At 36.9% G+C, this 27981-nt stretch overlaps 1 protein-coding gene across 8 annotated transcripts in view; it reads right to left on the bottom strand.

The window, feature by feature from the left end:
- The window catches only part of ADAMTSL1 (ADAMTS like 1), a 1004318-nt gene that overhangs the window by 843952 nt on the left and 132385 nt on the right, over positions 1-27981 (bottom strand). The window lies entirely within an intron of this gene.

Below are 27981 nucleotides of genomic sequence, written 5' to 3'. Positions count from 1 at the left end.
CCCCCCACCCCACAACAGTCCCCAGAGTGTGATGTTCCCCTTCCTGTGTCCATGTGTTCTCATTGTTCAATTCCCACCTATGAGTGAGAATATGCGGTGTTTGGTTTTTTGTTCTCGCAATAGTTTACTGAGAATGATGATTTCCACTTTCATCTATGTCTCTCCAAAGGACATGAACTCATCATTTTTTATGGCTGCATAGTATTCCATGGTGTATATGTGCCACATTTTCTTAATCCAGTCTATCATTGTTGGACATTTGGGTTGATCTAACAGCTTGTTCACTGAACCCACTGCTATTTTGATTAGGATCTCATAGTCATAAAATTCTGTTTAAATTTCACCTAGAATTGCTGTTTAAATTAAGGGAATAAACAACAACAAAATATTTCAACAACATACCTAAATGAGAATAGCAATTTTTAATTACCTAAAAATATAAAAACAATATTTTAGTAAAGAGCTAGTCATCTAATAATCACTTGCTTTCTGTATATATAGGTACACATTATATAAATATGTATTTTCAAAAGGGATGGATGCATAAAATAATAAAGAATATTTTAGATACTTTTAAGTCAACTTAAAGTTAATTAGATATAAATAACCCTACCTCCTATGTCTTATATAAACATTTGTAACTATCTTTCTCTATGTAACTGAACACTAGTTACCCTGGTGATGCTAGCATCCCAGAAATATGAGCAATTTATTATAATACTTCTATTATTGGTGCTTCAGTTTCTGTGTCAAAATCTTTATTATACAGCAGCATTTCCCAAGACTTGGGATGCTTTATCACTGACGGTACTTAGGATTTTAAGAATACTCAAATTGTTTTCGGGATTTATGCAAGATTATTTGAAAGAACATAGTGACACTATATTAAATAACATCACCTTGTCATAAGCTTATTTCTTTTGCCATTTCTTTCAATCATTCTGATTAAATAAGGGAGAACTGGTCATTGTGGTGGTGCCATTCTTTTTTTTTTTTTTTTTTTTTTTTTTTTTGAGATGGAGTCTCGCTCTGTCCCAAGCTGAAGCTGGAGTGCAGTGGGGGCGATCTCGGCTCACTGCAACCTCCGCCTCCCAGGTTCAAGTGATTCTCCTGCCTCAGCCTCCTGAATAGCTGGGATTACAGGCACTTGCCACCATGCCCAGCTAATTTTTGTATTTTTAATAGAGACAGGGTTTTGCCATGTTGGCCAGGCTGGTCTCGAACTCCTGCCTTCAGGTGATCCACCCGCCTCGGCCTCCCAAAGTGCTGGGATTACAGGCGTGAGCCACCGCGCCTGGCCCTTTCTAACACTTAAGAATCTCCCATTTAACAAAGAACAAACTAACCTTAAGCACAGAGACTTGGGCAGACAACAAAACATAGCTAGAATTTAAAGACGTCATTTTATTACCCCTGTGTTTATTTTTCCAATTACTTTTCATCTACGACCTGTGGCACTACTTTTCACTTATGGTGGTGATATAAAGTTCACTTTTAAGTTAACTGAATTACAAAGTAAGCAGATTTAATGACATAGTTCAAAATTATAATGGTACATAAAAATGGAAACAATTATAAAGAGGGCATGCAAATGATTGAACTTTGAGAAGAGAGTAATGAAACACCATGAGTTAATCCACACTTATTAAAGATGAAAACCTAAATCCTTAAAGACATGCAGTCTCCTTACTCTGTGACTAGAAATTGCCAGCCAACACAATAGCTTATTCCATCTCTGTGTACAGGAAATCCTTGCATGTACATCCCAACAGAGATGTGAATCTGTCCCTCTGGGTAAGATGTGAATCAGTGTGGTATATAGAGCCAGGTTTCATGTTTTGGAGTTAAACATGAAAAAAGTTTTCTACAAATTTACTTTCCCAGCTGCAGAGAAGCCCTTGGAAGTTTGAAGTTGTTTTCCCCAAGGTACTGAATTGCTTCGAACATATTTAATAAAAATCCGTATCTTTTCAACCCTTTCCTTGTTCCCAGGTTTATTCAGAGCCCACCAAAAAAAAAAAAAAAAAAAAAAAAAAAAAAAAAATCTTTAGCAAATACTGCTTTCTGAATCAATTTTTGAATACCAGTGTGATATAGTTATAATAGACAACCAAACTTTATATATAATATTTTGTTCCAATGTCTTGACTCAAAGACATCTCCAGAAAATATTAGCATATGTAATATCTATAATGTTTTCTAAATATTATATATAAATTTTCATTATATAACCCTCCCAAAAAGGATATAATTTACAAATTAAAGGGCACAAACAAGCCAATGAGATTTTATAGAAATCCAGTTATTAATCATAAATTTAAGCTACATGTAATCATTCTTTCATCAACTCGTCTACCTCTTTATGAATGTTCATGTATTAGGTTTATGTTATAGGGCATATAAAAAGGAGAGAGAAGTTCTGCTCTCAAACACCTTATACCCAAATCAATCTGTTAGATTCTTAAAAGTGAATATAGAAACTGTGGTTCAAGAAGGAGGTAACAGGACTTTCACTTTATGTTCCTATAGATAGCCTTTTGGAATTAACTCTAATGAAATAGAACTCCTAAATTGTAAATAGCAAAAGAAACAGCCAGAAAGTTCATCAAAACCTGAGTTCTCAAATTCCAAGTGGCTCTACCAGGCTACCACGAATTTACAGTTGGAGATGCTGAGAATCATCCGAGATGGAGGAGACTAACATTTTGCAGATTTCCCTCTGCATGTCCCTACAGACTACATTGATCATTCCACGGTGCAACCCACCCCCAACCCACACCCTTCTCCTTGCTCTTTTGAATAAAGGATCCCATCCAGCTGCACACTCCCAGGGGGAAGCTTGGGACAGCAATGTGTGCTTCCCAGATCTACAATTTGCTTGCTTAGAAAGTGGGTTTCCATATGGAGCAACAGTAGGAGCATCTGTGTTTCCCTGTTTCTTTTATTTTTTTAACTTTGAAAAAAGAGAGGGGATTCATAAAAATATGCATGGTGCCATGAATGAGGGGAGAGAAGGGAGGCAGTGGGGGATAAAATGTGAGTCCTGTGGTTGTTGATTCTAAACCGGCACGGAAATTGGAAGCTGGCTCTGGTGCAGAACACCCACTCATAAAGGAGGTGCAGAGCCAAACGTCTCTGCAACAGCAAGAGGCAGAGGCCACAAGAAAGGAGGGTGTTTTGGGACAGCCAAATCACTCAGCCCAAAGACTTTTATGCATGGACAGATACTCACAAGATGATTCTAGTGTAGTTTCCCCAATTATTGGTTTAAATGAACAAAACTGAAGTAGGCTGCCTGTGGGAACTATCCAGGAGCTCTTCCTCGTGGTATACAGTAAGCATCACTGTCCCATCCTGGGTGATGGGCTGCCCGCCATTCTGACGGGTCCTAGTCAACATGGCCCTTCCCTGCATTCGCTTCGCTAACAGAAAAGAACACTGAATTATGCCTGTTTTGAACAATGAATGTCTCTGTGTCCTCTTCCAAAACTGAAAATGAATGCTTGACAAACATATTTAGATAAAAGAGGAAAGAGATTTAAGTTATTCATTTCAGAATACAGTATTTTCCTCTTGGTTTCTAAAGTCTGCCCTTAGTTAACTGTTACAAAATAGAAGGCTATACACATGAACCTTTTACAATTTGTTTAATAGTGGGCTCTTGCTCTCCTGCCCAAGCTGGAGTTCAGTGGCATGAGCATAGCTCACTGCAACCTTGAACTCCTGGGCTCAAGTGATCTCCCTAACTCAGCCTTCCAAGTCGCTGAAACTATAGGCAGACACCACCATGCCCAACTAACTTTTTTAAAAACGTTTTTTTAAGAGAGACAGTCTCTTACTATGTCTTGAACTCCTGGCCTCAGGCTGGTCTTGAACTCCTGGCCTCAAGCAATCCTCCCATTTCAGCCTCCCAATTCACCAGGATTACAGACATGAGCTACCACACCCGGCAACAAACTTTTTTGTAATATGAAAACTTATGGAATAGGAATACTGTGTATTACTTCAGTTTATTTAATAAAGTTAATTTTTCTTGGCATAATGTGCCATGCAAAATAGTTTCTTTTCAACAACCAAGAAACAAAATTACTAAATTTAAGAAAATTAGAAAAACCAAGGAGGAGGTCATGTTAGCAAGTATCTGTTTAATGGAAGATTTCATCAAAGTAGCCAACCATAAATCAGAGGGAAAAATTTTAAAAATCATTTTTTAAAAGTTGGATTTTCTAAAGCATTAGAATTGTTTCTCACTGCCATCATTAAAATATACAGATTGAAGGGATAAAATATAATTATTCAATTATGCACTTTAAAATTTTTAGAATCTTGTGTAATTCCTCAATTCCAAATATTTATGTTATGACTGTTCTCCTTACTCAGACTGTCCAGAATGATTTCTTATTCCTCTTATTTCTAATTTTCTTCTTTATTTCATTTACAGTTAAAGGTAGATGTCTCAAAACATATTAGGTAGCCTGTATATGGAAAATCTTTAGTAAGTATTTGCCAAATAAAAGGATAATTGATTATTGTATAATTTCACTCATATGCATTTTTATTCTACTTAAAATATTATATTTATTATGGTATTTATTCAGTTACATTAGCAACAGCATTCAAATACATTCTGTGATATTCTGCAAACTATTTTAATGTTTAGTAACTCAATACTTTTAACTCAATATCAAACTTAGATTTACCTTTACCTGAAAAGATCTGCATAAAATGAGCATATTCTCTAGCACTCCTATACAAGTCAATCATGACATTTTTCAATCAGAAGAAAAGGTTGTAAACCTGAAATGTTCCAGAAATTGAATCACTAAGGTTGAAATATTCAGAAAATAAAAATAAAACACTTTAGAGAACTTATGTGAGTCATAAAATACCCATTCTTCCTGTTTTTTAAGTCGACCATTGAGCAAGAATGCACCCCTAAACCAGTGAATCAGATGGCTGAGTGTAGCTTGTAGCTGGCCCTCAATTCACTGCACTGCAACTTGTACTTCCTTCATCCTGTCTCCAAGTAAATGACAAAACAAACACCATGTGGTCTTTTGTTGATCTTCAGATCCTTTGCACAAATGCTCAATCATTTTGCTATTGAAAATTGAAGATGCCGTTTGGTGATTCAAAGTATTTCTATCACGGGAGATTTTGAAACCGCCAATGCACTTTATCTATTGCATGGACTAAACTAAACTGGTCCCAAACTGATCTCTGTGAAATATAAAAAAGAATAATTTATAAGAGACAGAGAAGTGGAACTTGTTTTCAAATGATATGACACTAACTTCAGACAAATTCATTTCAATGAGTACTGAATGCTATATTTATACTGCACATAGCAAAATCCCAGCTTCTCTGGGGGCATCTAACTTGCTCTTTGTTCAGGAAACAAGACTTTTTCACATACAGCTGTTAGAGCCTAGGTCCAGTCCACATGTAAGGAAATGGCACACTAATATTTTATAGCTGCAGAGTTCTTTGTGGTTTATGAGGGCAATCTCATATATATTATCCCTGTTTGATCTTCACATCAATTTTGTGACATAGAGAAAGAGTTCATAGTACCACTTCACATGGGAGTAAACTGAGGCTACTATGGTTTGTGGTAGAAGCAAAGAAATACTACATGAGTACAGAAAAAAATGAGACATCAATAGGAAGCACAGGAAAACTATGTGAAAGAAAAGCTACTCGACCTTAACCATCAGAGCATTTCATAAACACTTTTGCTCAGTAGTTGTTAATGCCACTATCAGAGCTGCTAAGTGACCTGTCTAATGTTACACAAATACTTAAATGTAACTGTTTAGATTTGATCAAGACATTCTGATAATAAGTCATGGCTCTTTTTTCTATCCCTCCAACCCCTGCCTTGAGAGGGACAGGATTTATATTTTCTAAACCAAAAAATAAAGTTCATTCTTAAGATACAAGGACAGTAAAACCCTCATTGCAAAAAACTCTGAGTCGCAGAAAACTGCCATGAGTAACAGGTAGCATTATGTTCTCATCCAGTGTGAGTTACTTTTCTAGTTATATGACATAGTACCTGTTTAATTTCTGTGATAAAGAAATAAGGAGAAGTTTTTAAATGTTTGCCATTACTGAGATTTTCTGGTAAAGCAAGGACAATCCAAAAAGTTAATAAGTAATGTGTATATATACTGAATATGCAAAAAGATTAGCAATGACATTGATTCTTAACATAAAATTGTGATGAAGCATATTCTAAAAACAGAGAACCTGAGAATTTCTAAAAGTTCAGGATAGGGGGCAGTGGTGAGACGAATTATTAATAGTAGTTAACCTGACTAAAATCAGTAGGGTCATCGTCAGAAATGAAAATAAAAGTGTTTATTGTTTTATGGTTTTTGTTTTGTTGTTAAGTAGGCAGAGCATAATAAGAAATAAATGATAGACATTTCTTGTTTCTTTGCCAAATTCCTATAGGCAGCTTACTCAACTGGCTTTATGTTTAGTCTTGCCCAACATGTCAGAAGCTGAAGCTGGAAGGATAATCATACAGACTCTGACCCTCAGTGGACAGAAGCCAGCTTATTATTTACTTTTGAAATGAAGTTAATAAAATATTGCAGATACCTTAGCCCATAGGGTTGTTTTACAGCTTATCTGAGGTGCCTACAGTATAACTGAACAAACCTGCAACAAACATTCACGTGACCCCACAAATGGAAAGTCACTGTAAAAACAAATATTTGATCCAGGCAAAAGAAAGGATTAGACATATACACTAAAGTAAAAGCCAGTACAAAGTAGGGTATATGATATGCTGCCAATTGCACTTAAAAAATACATCCTTAGGTACATACACATATACATATATGTGGAATGTGTGTGTATGTGTAAGCAAGCACAAGAATAAACCAACTCTGGAAGGATAGGTAAGTCACAACAGTGGTTAACTCCAAGGAGCTCAACTGGGTAGCTAGGGAAAAAGATATTTATACTATGTTACTATCTACTATTTTGTACCTCTTAAATTTTACACTATGTGACTGTACTATCTAATCAAGTACAAATAAAATTGAAGTTTTTTTTAAAGAAAACTTTGTTAAGGACTTTTGAGTCAACAGAAACAAAAATGCACATAAAGAGAACTTAAAATGGTATCTAAATAAGATTTATAAGACAGCCTTAAAAAAAAGCCAAATTCATTCTTATTTAGTTCTAAATTGCCATGTTTCAAAATTTAATGAGGTGAGGTAGAAATCCACTTTTATAGCTTAAAAAGAATAAAAACATGGGATACACAAACATTCCCGGGTAAGATTGTACAAGGTCAAGAGCAATCATTCAAGAGTAGACTTTGTACTGGCTTTTATCCATAGTCCTTGAACCTAGTGGTATGTGTGTACAAGTGATAATGTGTGTATAAAACCATTCACTTCTTTATCATTGTCTGTGAGAAAAAATCCATTATCCCCTAAGGCCTATCAAAGTCATATGATAAATTTTACTGTAATATAGATCATATACACCAAAGTGTTACCAGGCTTGAATATGCCAGCTTCCTAATCACCATTTTCCCCACCACATTAAGAAGCAAAAATTTTATACACATTCCAATATTTCACAAAATACATGACATGAAATTATCAAAAATGACTCAACCAAAAAAATGATACTCGATTTATCTTAATTCTACAAACACCAAGCACTATCAAGACTGCAGTTGCAACACAAGCACTGAAGAATGCAAAGGTGACATGAAACCTACCTTTGCAAGGAGTTAACAGTCCGATAGTGAAAGTAACTTACTCAGAGGAGAGACAATGTGATGAGGGCCACATTTCATACCAGGAGTTCGTGTCTGTGATACCCTCCAAATCATTGCAGCACAGAATTTGATGGAAAACTGGGGATATTTGGAAAGAAAGAAGCAAAGAAGGGCAAGATACTGGATAGGACCAAAGTAACAGAGGTTAATCTTAAGCAAACACTAAGCATGATGTGATTGCTTAGGCTTAAATGAGAATGTGCTTTTCTGATTGGTAAAAATTCCAAAGCTAAAAGACAGGAATATCCATGAAATTTCCAAGTACTGCAGGCTTTCAATGTAGAAGCTCATGTGGGACTGGCAGAGCAGTTTGTTAGAAACTTAAACTGGCAGTAACATCTGTGGTTTCTTTTACTGGAATTGTTCTTGTAAAAGATTTATGAGAGGCAAACATCCCTGCTTGGCTTATTCATAAAAGAAAATGGTGTAGAGACACAATAGATGTACAGACAAAATGTTTTAATATAGTCTCTCTGTGCATTCACAACATAAGGACAAAGACTTCTCAGTTAGGGAAAGAATCAGTGAGACCTATTTCATGGGTCAAAAGTATGGGATTTTACAGTTTTTCTTATGTGAGAAATGCCAGTATCTGTATTTTATCAGTGAAATTCCATTCATCCCCAGATCCTCGTTTATAGTTATAATCATTGAAAAAAAAAATATGCTCACAATATTTATGACATTGGTGCATGATATTCTGAAATGTAACAAATGGTATACATGTCAATGCGATGTAATATTTATCTTCAATGATTAATCTTATGATTAGGACAAAGACTAAAGCGAACATGGCAGTTATATGTTAAACAAAGATTTCCAGGAAGGCAGTGTGCCCATCTGGTCTCTTCTCTTGGTAGAAATCTTATATTTAGGTACCCAGCAGATAGATTTCTCTAGCATCTGGCAGAACACTCTCTAGGGATGAGGAGATTTATCTCTTGATCTTATAAAATAAGCTGACTTGACTGAGATTCCTTATTGTGTAAAAACCAAAAGAATGTTCTAGATTACTCAAAATACTCTTGCATTCTTTCATTTATTCTTCCATTCATTTAATCTTTCAACCATTCATTCTTCCATCTATCCACTCCTTTACCTATCTGGCTAGCAAATATTTATTTAGATACTCCTATGTACTAGGTGCTGAAGATACAATGATGAACAAGGAAGCAGATTTACCCTTCCCTGCTGACTTATAGCCTAGCCAGGCAGACAATGATAACCTCCCAGATGGCTACACATTCACAGTTGAGATAAGTGCTCTTAGGAAGAAATATTGTAACAAAGATGGATAATAGGGAGACCTAAAGAAGACTAGGGGTTCAAAGAAGATGGTCAGCTTCAAATAGTGACATTAAAACTCAATCCTAAAGAATGAGTAAGAATTAGCCAGACGAGTGCTAGGAAGCTCATTATTGGCAGAGGGAACAGCATGTGCAAAGAGTCTGAGGCAGAAAAGAGCTTGGTGAGTTCAGCAGGTATGGCTGGAGCCCAGAGAACATGGGTGGTGGTGACAAGCTCTGACTTTGGACTGGTCTGGGTGATGCAGGACCCATAGGCCACGGTCAGCCCACAGTCAGATTTTCATTTTAAAAAACTCGTTCTAACCAAGTACTAAATTTGCCAATATGATTTCTCCCTTGTTTGTAACGCTAGTCACAAATATCCCTCAGCTAGGGTAAGGAAATTTGCAAGTCCCCCTGTTGCCAACTTTCCATGGGTCCTCACAGTCATTTTACAAATAAACTTCTAACACTCATATTGGGAGAACAGAACTAATTTTTCACATTAAAAACTTTTTTATTTCTGATGATGTTTATAAAATCATTCTTTAGCATCCCATAGCCAATTTCCCCAAAATGAATTAGATAGGGAAATAATTGTCTATTTCTAGAGGATTTTTCATTATGAAAGGAAAAATCGTCTGACTCAATATTGCACATCAGTTCCACACACAGGAAAACCGTGAGTGCACAGTAATTCTTTTTGTGGCAAATGCAAAGTCTGTGGTCTCTGCAGGTCTCAGAAAAGACCACATACTAGAAAAACCGCTACCTGCCTGTCAGTGGGAAGGTCTCTGCTGTACCTAGTGTGCAACTTTGACCTTCACCAGGACAACGTAAAGCCTAGCTGGATGTTTCCAGATGCCCCTTAAAGCTATTTTGCAGGGAGGAATTCCTGGTTAATTAAAAGGATAATCAAACATTTTGAACAGTAGTGCAGTAGTGGTTTGTCTGGTTTGCATTTGCCGTCCTGACAAGGTCTAATATTTTAAGGCTCCAGTCTTGAAAAAAACATGTTAAAGGAGATGAATGAAAAGTGAGGAAGAGGCACTGAAGAGAGGTCTGTGAAGGGCACTGCAGGGAGAGAAGTTGGGCAGAAACCCAGAGTGGGTTCCTCTTTGAGGTCTAGAGAATGCGCTGGGGAAATGTAGCAGGACGTTACCCCACTGAGGTTCTACCTGAAGGGTCTGAGAGATCAGGCACTTTTGTGCACTTAAGATTCCTCTTTTGGCCAGTTACCATGCTCTGAATGCTTGCCATGTTGAGATTTGTAGTTTTCAACTATCTAAGTCTCTTTTTATTGCCTCTTCTTTTGCTCCCTACCTCCCACAGAAATATACCTCGCCAACAAATAACCGTCTCCCTATGTGTTGTTTATACCGAGATGAGCAAGGGAGTGCCAACAGGTCACCCTCTGAAGGTGGAATTACTCATCTGCTTTCTGGAGAAGAGCTGTGGGTAACATTAACTTCTCAGCTGCTGCTGTGCAGAGCCCCGGTTGAGCCATAACTGGAGGCTCAGGATTTGAAACACGCTCTTGTCTAAGCCATTACATACTAAATGAATCCAACCCTGCCTCCAGCATCAGAAAGGAAGAAACTCAGATTTCTTCACTAAAAATTCTCCTTCCACATTAACATTTCATACCTTTAGGGGAAAAATTGCTTTGTCTTTCTCTTTCTTCCAAAATAAGAAAATGCTTTTTTGGATATTGATATTTGAGGAGAAGGGCAGAGGAAAAAAAAAAAAGCTTTTGCTGAAAGAAAAAAAAAATCACCCTTTCTAAAAATCTAACAGTTCCTAAGGCCTCTTTCCCCTTATAGAATAAAGGGAGCAAAAGAGATTCATGACCTGTACAGCAGATCCCAGGAAACTGTTTTTGCTCATGGTTATCTGGTCAATAGCTCAGGCAGTATAATTTTCAAAAAATGGATGTTGCAATAGTAGCAATTCAAATTAATGAGCGTATTTTTAAACTCTTTAAAAACTAAACCTGAAAGCATAGTTAATAGCTGATTGGCCTCACAGGGGCTTCAAGCCCATATTTTGAATATTAAACCTTGACAGCATGGCAAACGAATAACTTGGACTTGTAAAATATAGGAAATTTAAAGCCAAAACCAGAGCTTTATCCTAATTTACCTCATTCTTCTTCTCTATCATAAATATCCTAAACTGCTGGAGGCATGTGCAGATCCAGTGATTTTATGCACGGCATACTCTAAGACACAGCGCCCCTGCGATTAGGTGACATATAGATGAAGCATGTGCTTACGACTCCTCGTGGTTGTTACTTTGAAAGACTTTGTGGAATTTTAGAAGGGAACCATAGAAAAGCAAACATCACTTTGGTCTATGTACATATATTAAGCATTTAATGTATTGACATTCAAGTAGATCTTAGGGGCTTATTTATAGTTTATAGAAGGGTTTTTAGAATAGCCTTTATAGTTTCCAAGAGAAGACTTTAATGCACAAAAGGACAAGGAGATTGACCCTACTTCTACACACTTCCTTTGATGGGGGTGTGGCAGCATTTACCACATGGAGGAAAGGTAATACAAGTAAGATGATTATAAACAAATGCTTTGAAAACAGAGTCAATGAAACCAGTCTGTTTGTGAGGCCCAAGGTCTTATATTTTACAACTCAGTCTGTAAGGATAGCTATGTATCTGCTTTTACTAAACTGACTATGAATAGGTGCTAAAAAAGAGCACTGTTACTACAGACTTTAGTATCTTGTTTAAGATACCAAGTGCTGTAATTTCATTATGCTTTTTAGGAAAATCACTCAGCAGAGACCATGTGCATGCCCCAGTCCATTCAGGGAATGCATAGTGCTGTGGCAGAGCTGCAGGCAGGGTGAGATGGCTGCCTGTGCCACCCACTCCGGAAATCCATTCTCTCTAGAGCACCGGCTGGGGAAGGGAGCATGCCCTAATGTCAAAATAACTGGCCTTCTAAGAAGTTCCAAATAAATAGTTGGACCAGTTCAGTACTACTTCTACAAAAAGATTGCGGGGGCAGGGGAACTTCACACATTACCAAGCACCTCCCCCAAGGGAAATAATGTCAATTTTTAAATTTATCCACATCCTGTCAAGCATCTGGAAATATATGGAACTCTCTAGATAATAAAAAGACAGCCTTGATAAAAGGGTTTAAAAAATATTATTGAAGTACATGTAACCCCAACTCTTTCATTTATTAGCTGAAGGACCATGAGTAAGTCACTTCATCTTTCTGAGCTTCAAGGTCCCTTTAACTGTAAACTGGTTATAACACCGTCACTAGCCCCCCGATGGTGGATGGAATAATTCAATGAGAAAACATGTCGACCTGGCCTAATAGGACCTAGAATGTAAGAAAGACTTAAATAAATGTTAGTACCACTCCAACACACATACAGACCTATATACAGAATAATGAAAAGCAGAAACTGGGCCAAACTTTGAATGACTCTGACTTGTTACTGTCTGATTCAAATTTTGGGCTATTAGAAGCAATACTACAATCCATTTTGTTAGGCATAGGACTTAATAAAGTTTTCTAATTAGTTCTTTGCAATAAACTCTTAGAAATGGAAAAAATTGAAAAGCTGTAATTCAAAATTTGAATAGACGTTTTCTCAGAGGTAGGGTTGCGTGTAAATTTATTCTTTGGGCTTTTACATGGTTTCTCAATTTTCTACAATGTATGTCTGTGTTTATACACGTACAAATGTATGCACATACATACACACACATACATAACTATAGACACACACATATATTTCCTGTATAATCAGAAAACTATGCTTTATAAAAGATATGGGCAAATAGTTTTAATTATAGTAGTTTCTATCATGTAAGCATCTATGTCCTTTTATAACCAGAACTGCACAGGCTACTGAAATATTCTGAAAAAAAAAAGAGAAGCAGTACGTCATCACTCTGTACTTTTAACACCATCAAAACGTTGATACAGATGTCCTACACAGTGAAAGGTGCACACCAACAATAAAAGAAAAAACAAAACAACACCTTTACTTCAAAAGACATTGCCTGATATCTGTTAGGGTTTTGACGATACACACCAAGAGTTACCAGGGTCTTGCTTGTGTTTTATCCTTGAAGCCTCCTCGGAGCCTGGTACATCAAGAGTGCTCAGTAAACTCGGAGCCTGGTACATTGTGAGTGGTCAGTAAATATTTATTCAAAGAATTAATATATGAATGTAACATGGGAGTGACAGATGATCATAGTGGCTTTTCGAGATTTCTGCTTTGTTTTGTTTATTAACAGAAAGACTTGGGCAAGCAACATTCAAATGAATGTATTCAGACTGAGACAAGAAAGGTTGGCAATTAAGAAGGTGGAATATGTTGTGTGATTATTACAATACACAATTTTTCATGAAATCAGAAAATGGACTTTGTTTTTAAAAATTAAGAGATTGTCACATGTGAAACATACTGAACCAATTTTCATATAATTTCTAGAAATACATTAATCTCTTTACTGTGAAAAAGTATGAACATTTTTTTAATTCCCAAGGGTATTTTTTTTTGAGAGAGAGAGAGAATGAAAGTGCAATATAATGAGTAATGACAGGTATGTCTCCTCTGTCTCCTGTCCTCTTTGCCTCATTATAAGATCTAGATCATAATCCAGAGCAGGTACTGTACTCATCAGAGCAGTGCTAACCCCAAGTGTCACTGCCCACCTGAAGACCCTTCTCCATGAAGTCCAACCTGCATTCTCAGGCAAAAAGTTCTCAAGCTCAAAGATCTCATTTTCCCACAGCAGTGCAAGAACAGAACTCCACACTTGGTGTGTTCCTTTAGCTTTATGGATTTTGATTTTGACCCAGTATTACAAAGGCAAGAATCAAAGAAATAATACATTGCCCTCAAGTTTACTTTAAAGATTGAGGAAACAGAAAGGATGAAACTTGAAGACAACCCATTTCTAAATTGGAGCCCCATGTTCAAACCTACTAGAGAAAAAAAAGTAGGTGACCATGTCAAAGCTGTAAAGGTGATTTTACTTTGGTTTGTGCTGATTCTAATCATTTTCAAAATGTACAGAGAATTTCCTGCTCTGATTTCCAAAAACATGTCACCCCCACCCCCACTCTAGTACAAAACACAGCTGGGTTAACTAAGATAAAACATTAAAAAGACTCCTAAAATAGTAAAATAAAAAAGAATGATGATGATGCTGTTTTTAATACAGTTTCTACTTTGCACCATTGCTTTATGAAATCATCTTTCATCCTCAGGACAACACTGTTAGGGGGTACTATTGGCCTCACATTTCAACTGAGGCTACTGAGGCACAAAGTAGACAGCCTGATGGGAGGCACAGAGCTGCCAAGCAAAGTCTAGGCCAGGGCTCTCTGGCCCCAAATCTCTTAATAGCAGCAAATTCGTCCACTCTCAGCGGCTTCACACACACTGGTTTCTCTGCCTAGAACCTTCTCCCCCATCTCTCCATTGGCTCAACTCTTACTCATTCTTTAAGGCTCAGCTTGAATGTCACTACCCCAGAAAACCCTTCTCTGACCTCTCAACCTAAAGTAAGTACCCTGTTTTCACTAGCTTAGTAGCTCATTCTTTCACTTCAGGGCATTTACCTAAGTGTGAAAGTATGTATTTATTTGTGTGATGTGTTTAGTGCCTGCTTTCTGGTCTAGACTGTAAGCTCCAGACAGGCAAGGGCCACTTCTGCAAAGGTAATTATTGGATAAATATTTGTTGACTGACTCATTGACTGATAGAAGTATGACAATGATTTTCACAAGGTGAAGGTGAAGACTGTGGACCCTTCTGCACTTGCACTCTGCCTGTTCTAAAAATAGGAGCTCTACTTTGATCTGTTTATATCTTGAACTTCCTCAAAGATGTTTGTAACAAAGTGTCAAGAAAAGAGAAATTTGTTAATGACTACTCCATGATGCTTCCCTATATCCACAGACTCAGGTAACCAATAAAGTGAAAGAAACACTTCTAACCAAAGAAACAGAGCACAAACCAAAGTAAAATCACCTTACAGCTTTGACGTGGTCACCTACTTTTTTTTGTCTACTCAGCATCTGTTTAAGCAGACAAGGTATCACAAACCAACAGAGAGAGAAATGGCATCGCTGTGTCAGAATGCAGATGTGAACCAAAATTCTGACAAAGTCACTCTTCTTTACAAAAGCTTCATAACAGGAGCTTCTTCTTATCTGTTTCATTTGTGCCATGAGTAAGACTGATAATAACTGGATAGGCATGTGCCATTTACATGGTAAATAAAAAATGAATAGCCTAACTGTATTTGCAGAATACCCACTTAATCTTGGAGTTCCTTGTATTTAAAAAAAAAAAAAAAAGTTTTAAAAAGTTGTCTGTATCTTTCCTTTTTTCTCCTTCTCTGAGGAGGACCCAACTTTAGGGGCTGATACCATATAGCCCAACAGGACACATGCCTCTGAAATGTCCAACAAATATTCCAAGTATTCCTACCTTCCCCTTCATGGAAGACTCCTTCCCACACAGTCTACCAGCTTCCTTACAACACAGCAAGTGATGATCAGTCTATAATGTTATATAGTGTGGATATATATAATTTTTTTTTTGAGATGGAGTCTTGCTCTGTCGCCCAGCCTGGAGTGCAGTGGCACCATCTCAGCTCACTACAACCTCCTCCTCCTGGGTTCACGCCATTCTCCCGCCTCAGCCTCCCAAGTAGCTGGGGCTACAGGCGCCCGCCACCACACCCGGCTAATTTTTTGTATTTTTAGTAGAGATGGGGTTTCACTATGTTAGCCAGGATGGTCTCCATCTCCTGACCTCATGATCTGCCCGCCTTGGCCTCCCAAAGTGCTGGGATTACAGGCGTGAGCCACTGCACCCGGCCATATAGTCTGGATATTTTAAGGACTAAGTAAAGTGATTGCACTGATTAGAATGGATTCTAATTGCACTGGTGTAAAGTAGCAGGGTGTATACAGGACACAGCACAATCCAATTGACATGCAATGGTAGTATCACCAACACAAGGTTTGAAAAGGATTTCCTTTTTTTACCAAAACAAGCTTTTTGACATGGAAACATGGCACCCTAATCATTCTGCCATGGGAAGGCAGCCTCATCTCTTATGTTTCCCCCTAAATATTAAGTGAGTCAGATCCCCACCTGTGACTTTAGATTTCCCTCTGGGTCTCAAAAGGAGTGACACATCACAAAAAAGTGCACACTTCCATAAAATAAGTCTGAAAATCAACACTTAAATAGATTTACAAAAGACTAGAATTCTTAAGAGCATTTCTTTCACAACACTCTGACTTAGAAAAAGGCCATTTCAAGCTTCAATATTATTCACACAGAGCTTATTTTGATGAAATAAGGAGATACTTTCAATATGGAAGCAGCTGGACCAATTTAGAGATTTGGCATCTGAATTGATGCTAGATTCATTTAGATAATAATTTTTTTATTTTTCTTACAGGGAATATTTATTAAAAAGTCACTTTTGGAAGGTAGCATATTACTGACTTCCAACCCAAGTATTCAATAATTTGATATAGATATATAAAAAACTCAAGTATTTTATTAGTCTCTATTTACTTTTAGAAAGGAATACCCATTTATCAGAAAATTTAAAAATGAGCATAAAGAATTTGTTATATCAAAATCTACTAGTTAATTCTTAAGATACCAAATTTTTATTTTAATCATGAATAGTTTAAGCAGGACATTTTATGTCTTCTATATAATGAGACTTTAACTCCATAAAATTTAATTTTTATTCAGTATTATACTAGGTTGTAAGAAAATCCAAACATTAACATTTTCCACTGGATGACTAAAGTCATTAAACTTTCTTTCAAGGAATATGTAAACATAGATATGGTATCTGTTGTGCTTCCTGTGGCTGCAAGTGACAGAAGTTCCCAACTCAAATAAATGTGTTACAAAATGAAGGTGCTTTTATCCCACAGAATCAGAAGTCCGGGCCGGGCACGGTGGCTCACACCTGTAATCCCAGCACTTTGGGAGGCCGAAGCAGGCAGATCACGAGGTCAGGAGATCGAGACCATCCTGGCTAACACGGTAAAACCCTATCTCTACTAAAAATACAAAAAATTAGCTGGGCGCAGTGGTGGGCGCCTGTAGTCCCAGCTACTTGGGAGGCTGAGGCGGGAGAATGGCGTGAACCCGGGAGGCGGGGCTTGCAGTGAGCCAAGATGGCACCGCTGCACTGCAGCCTGGGTGACTGAGCAAGACTCCATCTCAAAAAAAGAAAAAAAAAAAAAAGAATAAGAAGTCGAAGACAGGAAGCCTCAGAGTTAGTTCCATCAGGACTCTACCACTGGGCTCTGCTGGTCCCATAAAGTGGCTTTATCATCGGTCAAAATCCTCACATGGTTATAAGATGGCAGTGTAACTCCAGTCATTTTATCTAGACATACCGATGTCCAAAGAAAGAAGAGAGGCTCTTTACCCTTTATAAATGTTTAAAAGCCAGGAAACCTTTCCCAGAAAACCCCAAGCAAACTTTCCTTTCCATCTCATTGGCCAGAATTCTGACAAATTTTCATGCTGAAAATCACCACTGGTAGAGGATGAAAGTGATCACTAGCCACTATTATTAATTTTAACTATGTAATGAGTTACATTGTGTCTCCCAACAAGGTATGTCAGAGTCCTAACCCATGGTAACTGGGAATGTGACCTTATTTGGAAATAGGGTCTTTGTAGATGTAATGAAGTTGAGGATCTTAAGAGAGATCATCCTGAATCTTCCATAAACCCATGACTGGTGTCCTTATAAGAGAAAGGGGAGGGAGAGCAGAGACACAGAGAAAGCAGCAGTGTGAAGATGAGTGATGCATTTACAAGCCAAGAAACACCATGAATGACAGCAACTGCCGGAAGTAGGGGAGTGGACACATGGACTGGATCCTCCTCTCAAAGCCTCCAGAAGAAAACAATCCTGCTGATACCTTGATCTTGGATTTCTGGCCCCCTGAACTGTCAAAAAGTACATTTCTGTTGTTTTAAACCACCCAGTTTGTGGTACTTTGCCATAGCAGCCCTGAGTAATAGACATATGGGATGGACTGTCTGGGGCTGGACAGTCTTCCTGAAGCACATGACTATGTGCAAGATGGAAGATATTATAAACAAAGCTGGTAAGGACGAAGGAAAGCAACTCACGATGTCTGGTATAGACACCTTTCTGGCTGTCAAACCCCAACCATTCATAAAATCTATGTTTTAAGTAAACTTTATTTTAGAATAATTTTAGATTTGCAGAAAAATTACCAAGATAGTACAGAGAATCCCCATATATCTCACACCCAATTTCCCCGATTAGTAACATCTCCCATGTTACATTTACATGTTATGCAATATGTGAACGTTACATCTTACATATATGGTATGTTTGTTACAATTAATGAGCCACTATCTATATAGCAGTATTAAAGCCCATACTCTACTCAGATTTTCTTATTTTTACCTAATGTATTTTTTTCTGTTCCAGGACACAACAGTGACAATGTGCATAAAACCAACTGGAATTTCACCTGTTTTTTGTTAAATTTCTATGTGAGATGAAGCAATATAATTCACGCATTTCATATAAAGGAAACATAAGCAGAATAGATCCACCAAAAGACTACAAACTACAAATAAACAAAATGTGAGTTGATGAAAAAATAAACTGTTTTTCAAGAATAGCCCAAAGATAAGCCCATAATAACCTAGTACATACCATGACACAATAGAATAGTCAACATCAGAGCTGCAACATTTCTAAATCAAAAATCTAACAACTCTTCCAAGATAATGATGCCAGAAGCATAGTGTCAAATGTTTACTCCCTGTCCCTAAATGGGGCAATTCTGACAGTTAAGTGTTCAACACTTTGTTCTTCTCACCACAGCTTCTCCCTTGCTGATCTCATCTCCTCTTAGGACTTCAAGTTTGACCTCTGGGTGGAGGACTCAGATCTTTATCTTCAGTCCCTATCCTCTGCAATCCTCCCTACTGCCTGTTGGATGATTCCATCTGGAAGTCAACAAACTAAAACTGAACTCATCTTTTTCCCCAGACCAAGTAATTGGCGAAATACTTCTCTCAGTATTAACGCTAACTGAGCATTAGACTTCAAAATCATTTTTTTATTCTTCTTTGCCTGCGTTCAATGTCTGTTTATATACCAGCATGCCAATTTAAAGTGTCTCTGATCAGCTGGGTTCAGTTTACAGGTTCTAAAACGATGAGCAGAACCAGTGTCATCACCCCACCCCACCCCCAAGACCTCAGCATCAGCCAACAAATGCCCCCTCTTTAGAGGTCTAAGTTTTAGCACCACAAGACCCCTTCACTTATCTAAATTTTAGGGATGGCTGCTTCTTGCAGTCACTACCTTCTGATACCTTAGAGGAATGTTTCTCAGCCTTGGTATTATTGACAGTTCAAGCTGCATACTTTTTTGTTATAGAGGCTTGTCCTGTGTAAAGATGTTTAGCAGTATACCTGTCCTTTACCCATTAAATGCCAACAACATCTCCCCACCAAGTTGTGACAACCAAGAACATCTTCAGACATTGCCAAATGTTCCCTGGGGTGGCAAAATTACCCTGGGTTGAAAGCCACTACCTTAGACTTCACTGTTTATTAACTAATTAATAATCATTTTCATTATCTAGTTACTAATTTTATACCTAGTTAACATTTCTTTATATTTTCTGTGTGCAAATAACTAGTGTAGTTTCCATCTTCTTTCTAGACTCATACAGTGCTCTGTAGTAACATCTCCTGAATTAGTCCTTTTATTTTTATTTTCACCCTTGTCAATTTAAGGCCCCATTATCCTATGTAGTCATCTTCTAAGCCATTTTTCTGCCTTCCATTACTCCACATTACAATGCATCTGAACTCCCACACACATCCCTGATCTAATTTTCATTAAATTTTCTTCAGTTCCATTGCTGACATACTGCAGAAGAAAATTCAGTCTCTTTATCTTGGACTTCAGAGACCTCCAGGAATCAGAGAACTTACCTACAATTCCAAAGATGCTATTTACTAGATATGTGTCTGAGGTTGTTGATGATATTTTCTGAGCCTTGATTTTCTTCTCTGTAACATAACTACTTGCCTTGTTAGGGTTGTTGTAAGATTACATAGGATAAAATGTAATGAAGCAGGTAGAATTCAATAAATGGTAGATTGTATAATTATTATTATAGTTTCCATCATTATTAATATAAATAGTTAAGAGTACAGGGATTCAAAAACAAATTTTATTTCCTGTGGCAGAGACTGCTCCTTTTCTTTTCTAACATACTAACAATTTTTAGCTGGACACATGGTCACCAAATGAAAGACTACTCCCTTGCAGCTAGATGTAACCAGGTGACTATATTTTAGCCAGTTAAATGTGAATAGAAGTGGTTGATAATGCAACTTTTTGGTCATGTCCTTAACAGGAAAGGGCTTATATGCCTCTTTACTTTTCTTCCTGCTGACTGAAATGTATGTGGGATGAGCAATGCTGGAACAGCCACCTTGAACAGCTAGATGAAAGCCATGCATTAAAGGTGGCAGACCAACAAGCTAGAAAAGGCCTGTGGTAAAGAAATCATGCCTAGTAGCAAGACTGAAACAACTTGCTGCCTTATTTAAGTCGCTCTTGTTTTGAGTCTCTGCATTACAGCACTCAAGCCTATATCTTAACTAGTACTTTTTACTCATAATTTCCTTTATTATATATGCCTCTCACAATTTAGCCTCAACTTGCCATTCCCTTAAAATCCCACTGTGGTTTTGCTTTCACAGATTAGAAAACTAAAAAAGAACAAAATATATCATCCAGGAACAAGACAATTCTTTCCACAATGGCTAGGAACAGATTCCTTCCTCCCAGAGAAACCAGTACTTTATATTTTAATTACAAACGGCTTCTTCAATATCTCAGTGTTTACCCTTTCTGTCTCCCTCTGTCTATCTCTGTCTCTTTAGAACAGGGAAATTTTTTTTGCTCCAAAATTGTCAATTGAGATGAAAATGTTAATATATTGGAACTTTGTTGTGTCACTGTCACACAGAAAATAAAGGCACCAAGTGAGTATCAGGACTTAGAGTAGAAAAAGGCCACACAACTTTTTCTTAAAGAAAACAACTCAAGGCTTTTTTTTCAAGCCAGATAGCCTGATCCATGGAAATGATGACTAGACAATGTGAGGGTAAAATAGAGTTAAATTCACTGCCGAAAGCTATGGCCTATCACTATATGTGAGAATTTCTATGGAAGGGCAGTGCTTTTGTATTTGGGCAATGAAATTCCCTCTGGGACCTACCCATTCATCTAATTTAATAAGCATTCATTGATCATGAATGGGTATCTTTGTAGACAGACTTAAAACATAATGCCAAGTTTTAGTCAAAACCATCTCTACAGATTTTTTTCTTTCTTGCTAAATTTGCCTAGAGTCAGCAAAAGAAGGCAAAATCACTTTCTTTGTGTTAAGACTTCAGAACCACAATTATTGGTGCTCCCACTCACTCATGCCAACTCCAACTGCTGATTCAAGAATTACTTGAATAGTAGTTGAATAACCAACCACATCAGTATACATGTATCCAGAGAAGAAATCTTGTGATTCTCAAACTACATATACTCAGTTGTGATATAATCCTACTTTCTGGCAAGTAATATTTCTGACATGAAAACTATTAAATTCAAAGCAAATAAAGACTCATATACGTTAGTGTCCTTCTAATAGAACCTCCTTTCTTTCCTGATGAGGAACTAGAGCCCCAGAGAGGTCATGGAAGTCACCTAAGATACATAAGCTAACAGAAGGCAGAGTTTACAGTGGAACTCTGGATCCTAAGTCTCACTACAGGGCTTTGGCCTCTATTCTCAACTGGTTTACATTTAAAATCAATAATGAAACATATTTAGGAATAAAAGTGCATCAGAGTCCTTCCAATTAATAATTTGGTAATTGAAAAAGAATAAAACTCTCTAATATTGCATAGTACAGGAGAGCCAGAGAGCCATACTTCGCAGAGAAAAGACCTATACACCAGTAGCCAACTGATCTGTATTCTAGGTGTGACTCTGCTGATAACTTTCTGTGTTGTCTTAGATAAATCCAGATAAGGTAAAATGAAAAGGCTAAATAATATTTGCAAGTGCCCCTAAAAGTCTCTGGTTCTATAATTTTAGAACTGAGATCACTGAATATTCTGGCTTCACCTGGCAGTTTGAACTCAAATGTATCTATATCCACTGTTTTCCTTATCTTTGAATCTTTTCACACTAATTGGTAGTAAGATGCTAAAGGAAGTGGTGGAGAAATAAAAAGCCAATCCAATCATCTGAGTAGATTATTAGTATTTCCCTCCGCCTACAAGTCCCTACACCAAATCGCAGGCCAAGAGTTATGAAGACTGGTCCCAAACTTACAACTCATATCCTCTCCCTTAAGAAAAACAGTCAAACCATCCCACCACATGGTCCACTCATAGTTTCACAAAGGCACCACCACCTTCTCTGCCTCTGTGTCTTTGCTGGTGTTTCAATAGCCTCTTTATTTCTATCAGGTGAAGTCCTAATTTTCTCTTCAGGGCTCAACATGAGCCCTACCTATGTCTCACTGCATCTGCCTAGTCCTCTGCAGTCTCTCTTTTCTGACCATCTGTTTGGTCCTTAGCCACTTGGCACTTGGTCTTAGTGAATTTCCTCTGACCAAACTAGATCAAAGTCTATTCCCTACAGGAAATATGACTTAAACCTATTTTTATACCTATTGCAATAGCCTACACATAGCAGGTGCTCAAAAAATATTTGTTGTTGATCACAATGATAACAATGGTTCCCAAGGGTGACACAAGGAGGAAATGATAGAAAGTAACATACTAGATGGGAAGGCACGCATCCATGAAGAGGGGTATAGCATGGTTGTAGAAATTCACTAGAAATTTTACAAGGGACCAAAAAATGAAGGGGAATGAAGAAAGAGGATAGTCATCAGGTTACTAAATAAAGTAGTGCCAATAAAGCTCACCATATCTAAAGTACATTCCTTCCCTATACATTGTACCTACGTATAATTCAGGAGAATTCACAAAAATCTAGAATTATTATTTTTTATTAGCAAAAGTATTATCCACAAGCTGAAAATATTTGCTCATATAGCATTAATAAATTATAAATGTGTTTTCACTACAATTTTTCATGTGATTATAAAAGCCAAATGTAGTCTTCTGCCCTTTGCTGCTGGCCATATCTTCCCTCTAGAAGTCAGGGAACACCCGTCTCCATAAGCACAGGCTCTGGGGTAGGGGTTAGGCCTAGGCCATCTAGTAGGTTGGTGAACAAATAATTGCAGTTTTCCCATTATTTTCAATGAACTGCAATAACTTGTGCACCAAGCTAATATCATCTTTTGCTTACTGTAGCCCAGGTGGTAAAATAGCTTGAACTGGCCAGTTGCTTTGGAAGCTGCCTCTGGTTCTAAATATCCCAAAAATGTATACACATCCCCCCAAAAAATTTTTTAAGGAAATCCACTACTTTCTTGGGCATTTTTTCCCAACTAACCAAAGTGCAGCAGCTTCCTGTTGCTTGGGAGTATTCTGGCCTAGTAGTTCCTAATCCTGGCTGATGAAAAAATCACCTTCGGAAGCTCCAAAAAACACACACAGATCTCCCTGCCACACATTCAGATATTGCAGTCCTCAGTGGGGCATATAAATATACACCATTGTAAATATCCCAGGTAATTGTGACATGTGGCAAGTTTGAAAAAGACTGGTCTGTACTACACAGTTTCAGCCTCTTAGTTTTCTAGCGTGTAAATGTTCCTGTTTTATGACTTTCTTTTCCTTACTTTTTGTCTTACAAAGGAGTCTTCATTTAATTGCCCAACTATGAATGTTGGCTTCAATTACTTCTTATCATGAAGCATTTACATAGGTTCCCCCGTGAATTTTTTCCTGGATGGCAAATTTCTAAGGTTAAAGCAGAGGTCTTGACAATTACAAACTTGGGAGGATGTCATCTCACAACCTCATCATTCTGTACTGCATATCAGTCATGATTTAAATGGAGCTACAAGACTTTTGAGTATACCTTCTTGGCACTTCTTAGACTACAGAGTAGAAGTTATAACTCAGGCTTTCATGAGTTTAATTTCCACAAAATATAACTTTCCATTTTGATTGGCTTCCAGAAAGAAACACACACCAAATAAGGGCTGTAACAGTGAATCATTTGGGTTATAAGAGCTTTCTCTGATAACTTCAATTTGATCCTGACTAAACAGAGGCAGAATAGAGTAGCAATGAAGAAGTGAGCTTTGTTATCGAGCACATCTAGTTTCAGATCCTATGTATTAGTGAGGATTTTGACAAGTTACTTGACTTCTCAACCCCTCATGTCTTCATCTAGAAAACAACTAGATCTTTTTTAACTTATCTCAGTGAGCTGTCATGAGGATTTAATGAGATAGTCCATGAAAGTTGCTGGCATATAATGAACACTCAGTAAATTTCTTTTTTAGTTTCCTCTTAGGCATAAATTCATTGATCTTGCTAAATTCAATCAGAATTAGTATTATAATATTTTTAACATTTGCTAAATTAAGCAATTTTCCCTAAATCAAGCTTTGGAAACTTTTGCATATGAATCTTAACTATTTCTATGCTTCATAATTTGTACATCACTTAAGCTTTCATGGCTGGTTCTTCCCACATTTTAGGAGAAATCAATTATCAATTCCACTTTCTTAGTGTTCGTAAGCTTTTTTTTTTTTTTTTCCCAGCAATTACAACTCACTAAAAGCCTCAAGGGTAGAAATTTTGGCACTTCATGCACGGAGTAATTTGATCAAAGGCATCACCCAACTGACTGGAAACAATATATAACCAAAATTTAAAGTAACCAATTTTAAAATATTTTAATATGATTTCAGGACACTCAGGTTGATATGCAAAGAGATGCTACAAAGTTTCCAACATTTCTAAAATCAGATGTATGAATAGCAAAGACATAAAGTATGTACTACTCTGTTGAAGGGTTTTCTTGTTTCATTTTGTTTACTTCATCCTCAGCTGATTTGGGATATCAGTTATTTTAAATCTGTATGTACAAAATATTTATAAATTTTGAAAATCATGATTTTCATATCAATTGGTACAATATCAAAACTGGTAGATTATCAGTTTGGTTAGGAATAATTATTAAATATACACACACCACAAATTAATTCCAAGTAACCTTTTGCTCCATAGAGTTCTTAATTTAGTAAGGTGATTTTTATGATGATTCTGTCCTCCACCAGCCTATGTAACCATATTATGGCAAAAACAAATAATTTAATCATCATGTCTGAATTTTAAACTGAATCCACAGTAGCATTTATAATAGTGTCAAATGTTTTATCCTCAACATTTCCAAACTTTTACCTTTATTCCATAAATGGAATGAAAATAAAGCATTACTGGAATTTGCTTTATTGACTTTTCTATTTTAAGCATCTAATGACACTTCCATAAAACTAGCACCATTAAATATTTATAAAACTCTTCTAATACAACTAACACATTAATAGTTCTTGCTTCACTTCTTGCACACAAAAAAACTAAAATAAATGTGCTAAATTAATTCAGGAAAACAGCCATTTATTCCAAATGACAGGGCAGGCTTTACAGAGTGATGATGAGGGTACTTTCTGTAGCTACATGTGTTAAATCATCCTCTTCACATCCAGTCTTCTGAACAGAACTGCTGGTTTTTCAACCAGCTTCTGATGCTCCTTCAGCAGATTTGTGTCTTTGGTTTTTATGTGGTTAACTGAGATCACTATTGCCCCCCTAGTGGATGGTAAATATCAATAAGCATTTTATACATAATTCCTACTAATTAATCACTTGAGAAATTGAAATTTTCATTAAAATATATTTTTTAAAACCAATTGGTGCCAAATGAGTTTATTTAAAATTTTTTTCAGATTGTTAACAACGGAACAAATAATGACAAACTGATCCTCAGATTTGTGGCCATCTGTTGATCACTCCTTTGACAAATGAATAGAAATTATAACTCCAGGCTTTAATAAGTTTAACCTTCCCAAAGTATTTTTTTTTTCATTTCACTTAGCTTCCAGAAAGAAAGATAAACCAAATAAGGGCTGTAATTATAAGCCATTCAGGTTGTAAGCTTTCTCCAGTAACTGAAATAATTCTGTCTGCATAGATTAAACAAATACTTAAGTACAGATTCACACCATGCAGGAAATGACAAATTCACTATAGCAGTAATATTCACATCAAGGTCTACATGCACTATGGCAGGACTGCTCAAGCTCTACTATGCACAGACATTTCGTCTACACATAATGTATAATTTCCCATGATTCCTACCGGCCCAGCATGCTGGTGGCCTGAAGGTTTTATGCACCTTGCATGCATGAGCCACAGCCCAACTAGTTGAAAAACCAACCAGTCAGTAGGAACAGAAGCATCAAGAGCTTTCTCCACCACCACTTAAGATCAGAAACAATTAGTTCTCCTTATCTGCTCATGTCCAAAAGGGCTTTATTTTATCAGAGACCATGCTGTCATTGAAGGAGACATGTCACCTACCTTGCTTCCAGAAAGGGTTGGGGAAAACAGAGCCAGGTTATCAATAGTTATCTTCCTGGCTTATTCACAATTTAAGGGAAGGGTGTTGCTTACTATACATGCACCTCACATACTGTTGAATGAGAACATGGTAGAACTCAACCTGGCTTATTTTTAATCTGACATCAATGATAATGGTTTTAAAAATAAAATAATGCTGAATAAATGACAAAACAGACAAAATGCCAAGACATAGGCATAAGTCAGGACCATCCTGGAGACACAATAATATGGTCATTCTATCCTTTGCATATATGTTTTGTCATAGCAATATATAGTAGCATATGTCTAAAGAGGAAAACTGCCAATTTCTATCTGCCAAGAAGACAGACAAATCGGATTCAGAAATCTTATCGGCTAAATACACAAATGTCCTCAGAATTAACCTTCCTCCCAAAACCCAAACCTTACCTTGACTAAATAATAATTTTTAAAAATGAGTATCCTCAAATCTTAGTTTTAATACCACCATTTGATCTATGGTAGTAAGAGAAACAGGCTGAAAGAAGGCATGCTTGGTTTTTTGCCTCTGTATCTACGTGTGCATGTCTCCACAGCATTAACTTGACTTTTCCCAGTCTAAATTTTCTAAATTTCCACCAGTAATAGGCTTGGAAACTAACTCAGTTAATTTGCTCAATGCATTGTGAGAAGAAAAGCTCCTTGTGAAAAATGTTTGTTCCGTAGAAAGAAACCCTATCCCATAACAAGAAAAATTCATAAAATAAAAATACACCAATAATACACTCATGCTAATTCTTGAGCCCACCAAAATTATTGAAAGACACTGTTGACTTATTATAATTATTTGAGAGGGGAATTATTTTTTTAAAAACAGTCACCTGTAGGAAGGCATTATCCGTCACTGAGAAGTAAAAAAAAATACAGTAATATGTCTTTAATCTGTCAATGTGATATTCCAAAAGATGACATTTTCCCAGATAAAACTATTTATTTGCTCAAATCTTAATCCCTTAATGGCATTATATTATAAAACAAATATGCCAGACCTAATTCAGTCTTCTTTTAATGGCACAAGATAATCATTCTATTGCAACACAGTTTGTTCCTAAAATAATGGCCTGAACTATTTAGTGTCATGTTTTTTCTATAAAGTTCTTTCTCAGCTGGTGTTAGTTTTTCTTTGATGTTATTATACCTGAGGTCCTGAGCTAATATTTTCGTTTCATATATATCTGGGTTAGGCTCTGG

Source organism: Homo sapiens, chromosome 9 (assembly GCF_000001405.40).
Source record: "Homo sapiens chromosome 9, GRCh38.p14 Primary Assembly".
Classification (NCBI taxonomy): domain Eukaryota; kingdom Metazoa; phylum Chordata; class Mammalia; order Primates; family Hominidae; genus Homo; species Homo sapiens.
Note: the sequence above shows the minus strand (reverse complement) of the source record. Positions and strands in the feature narration are given on the sequence as shown.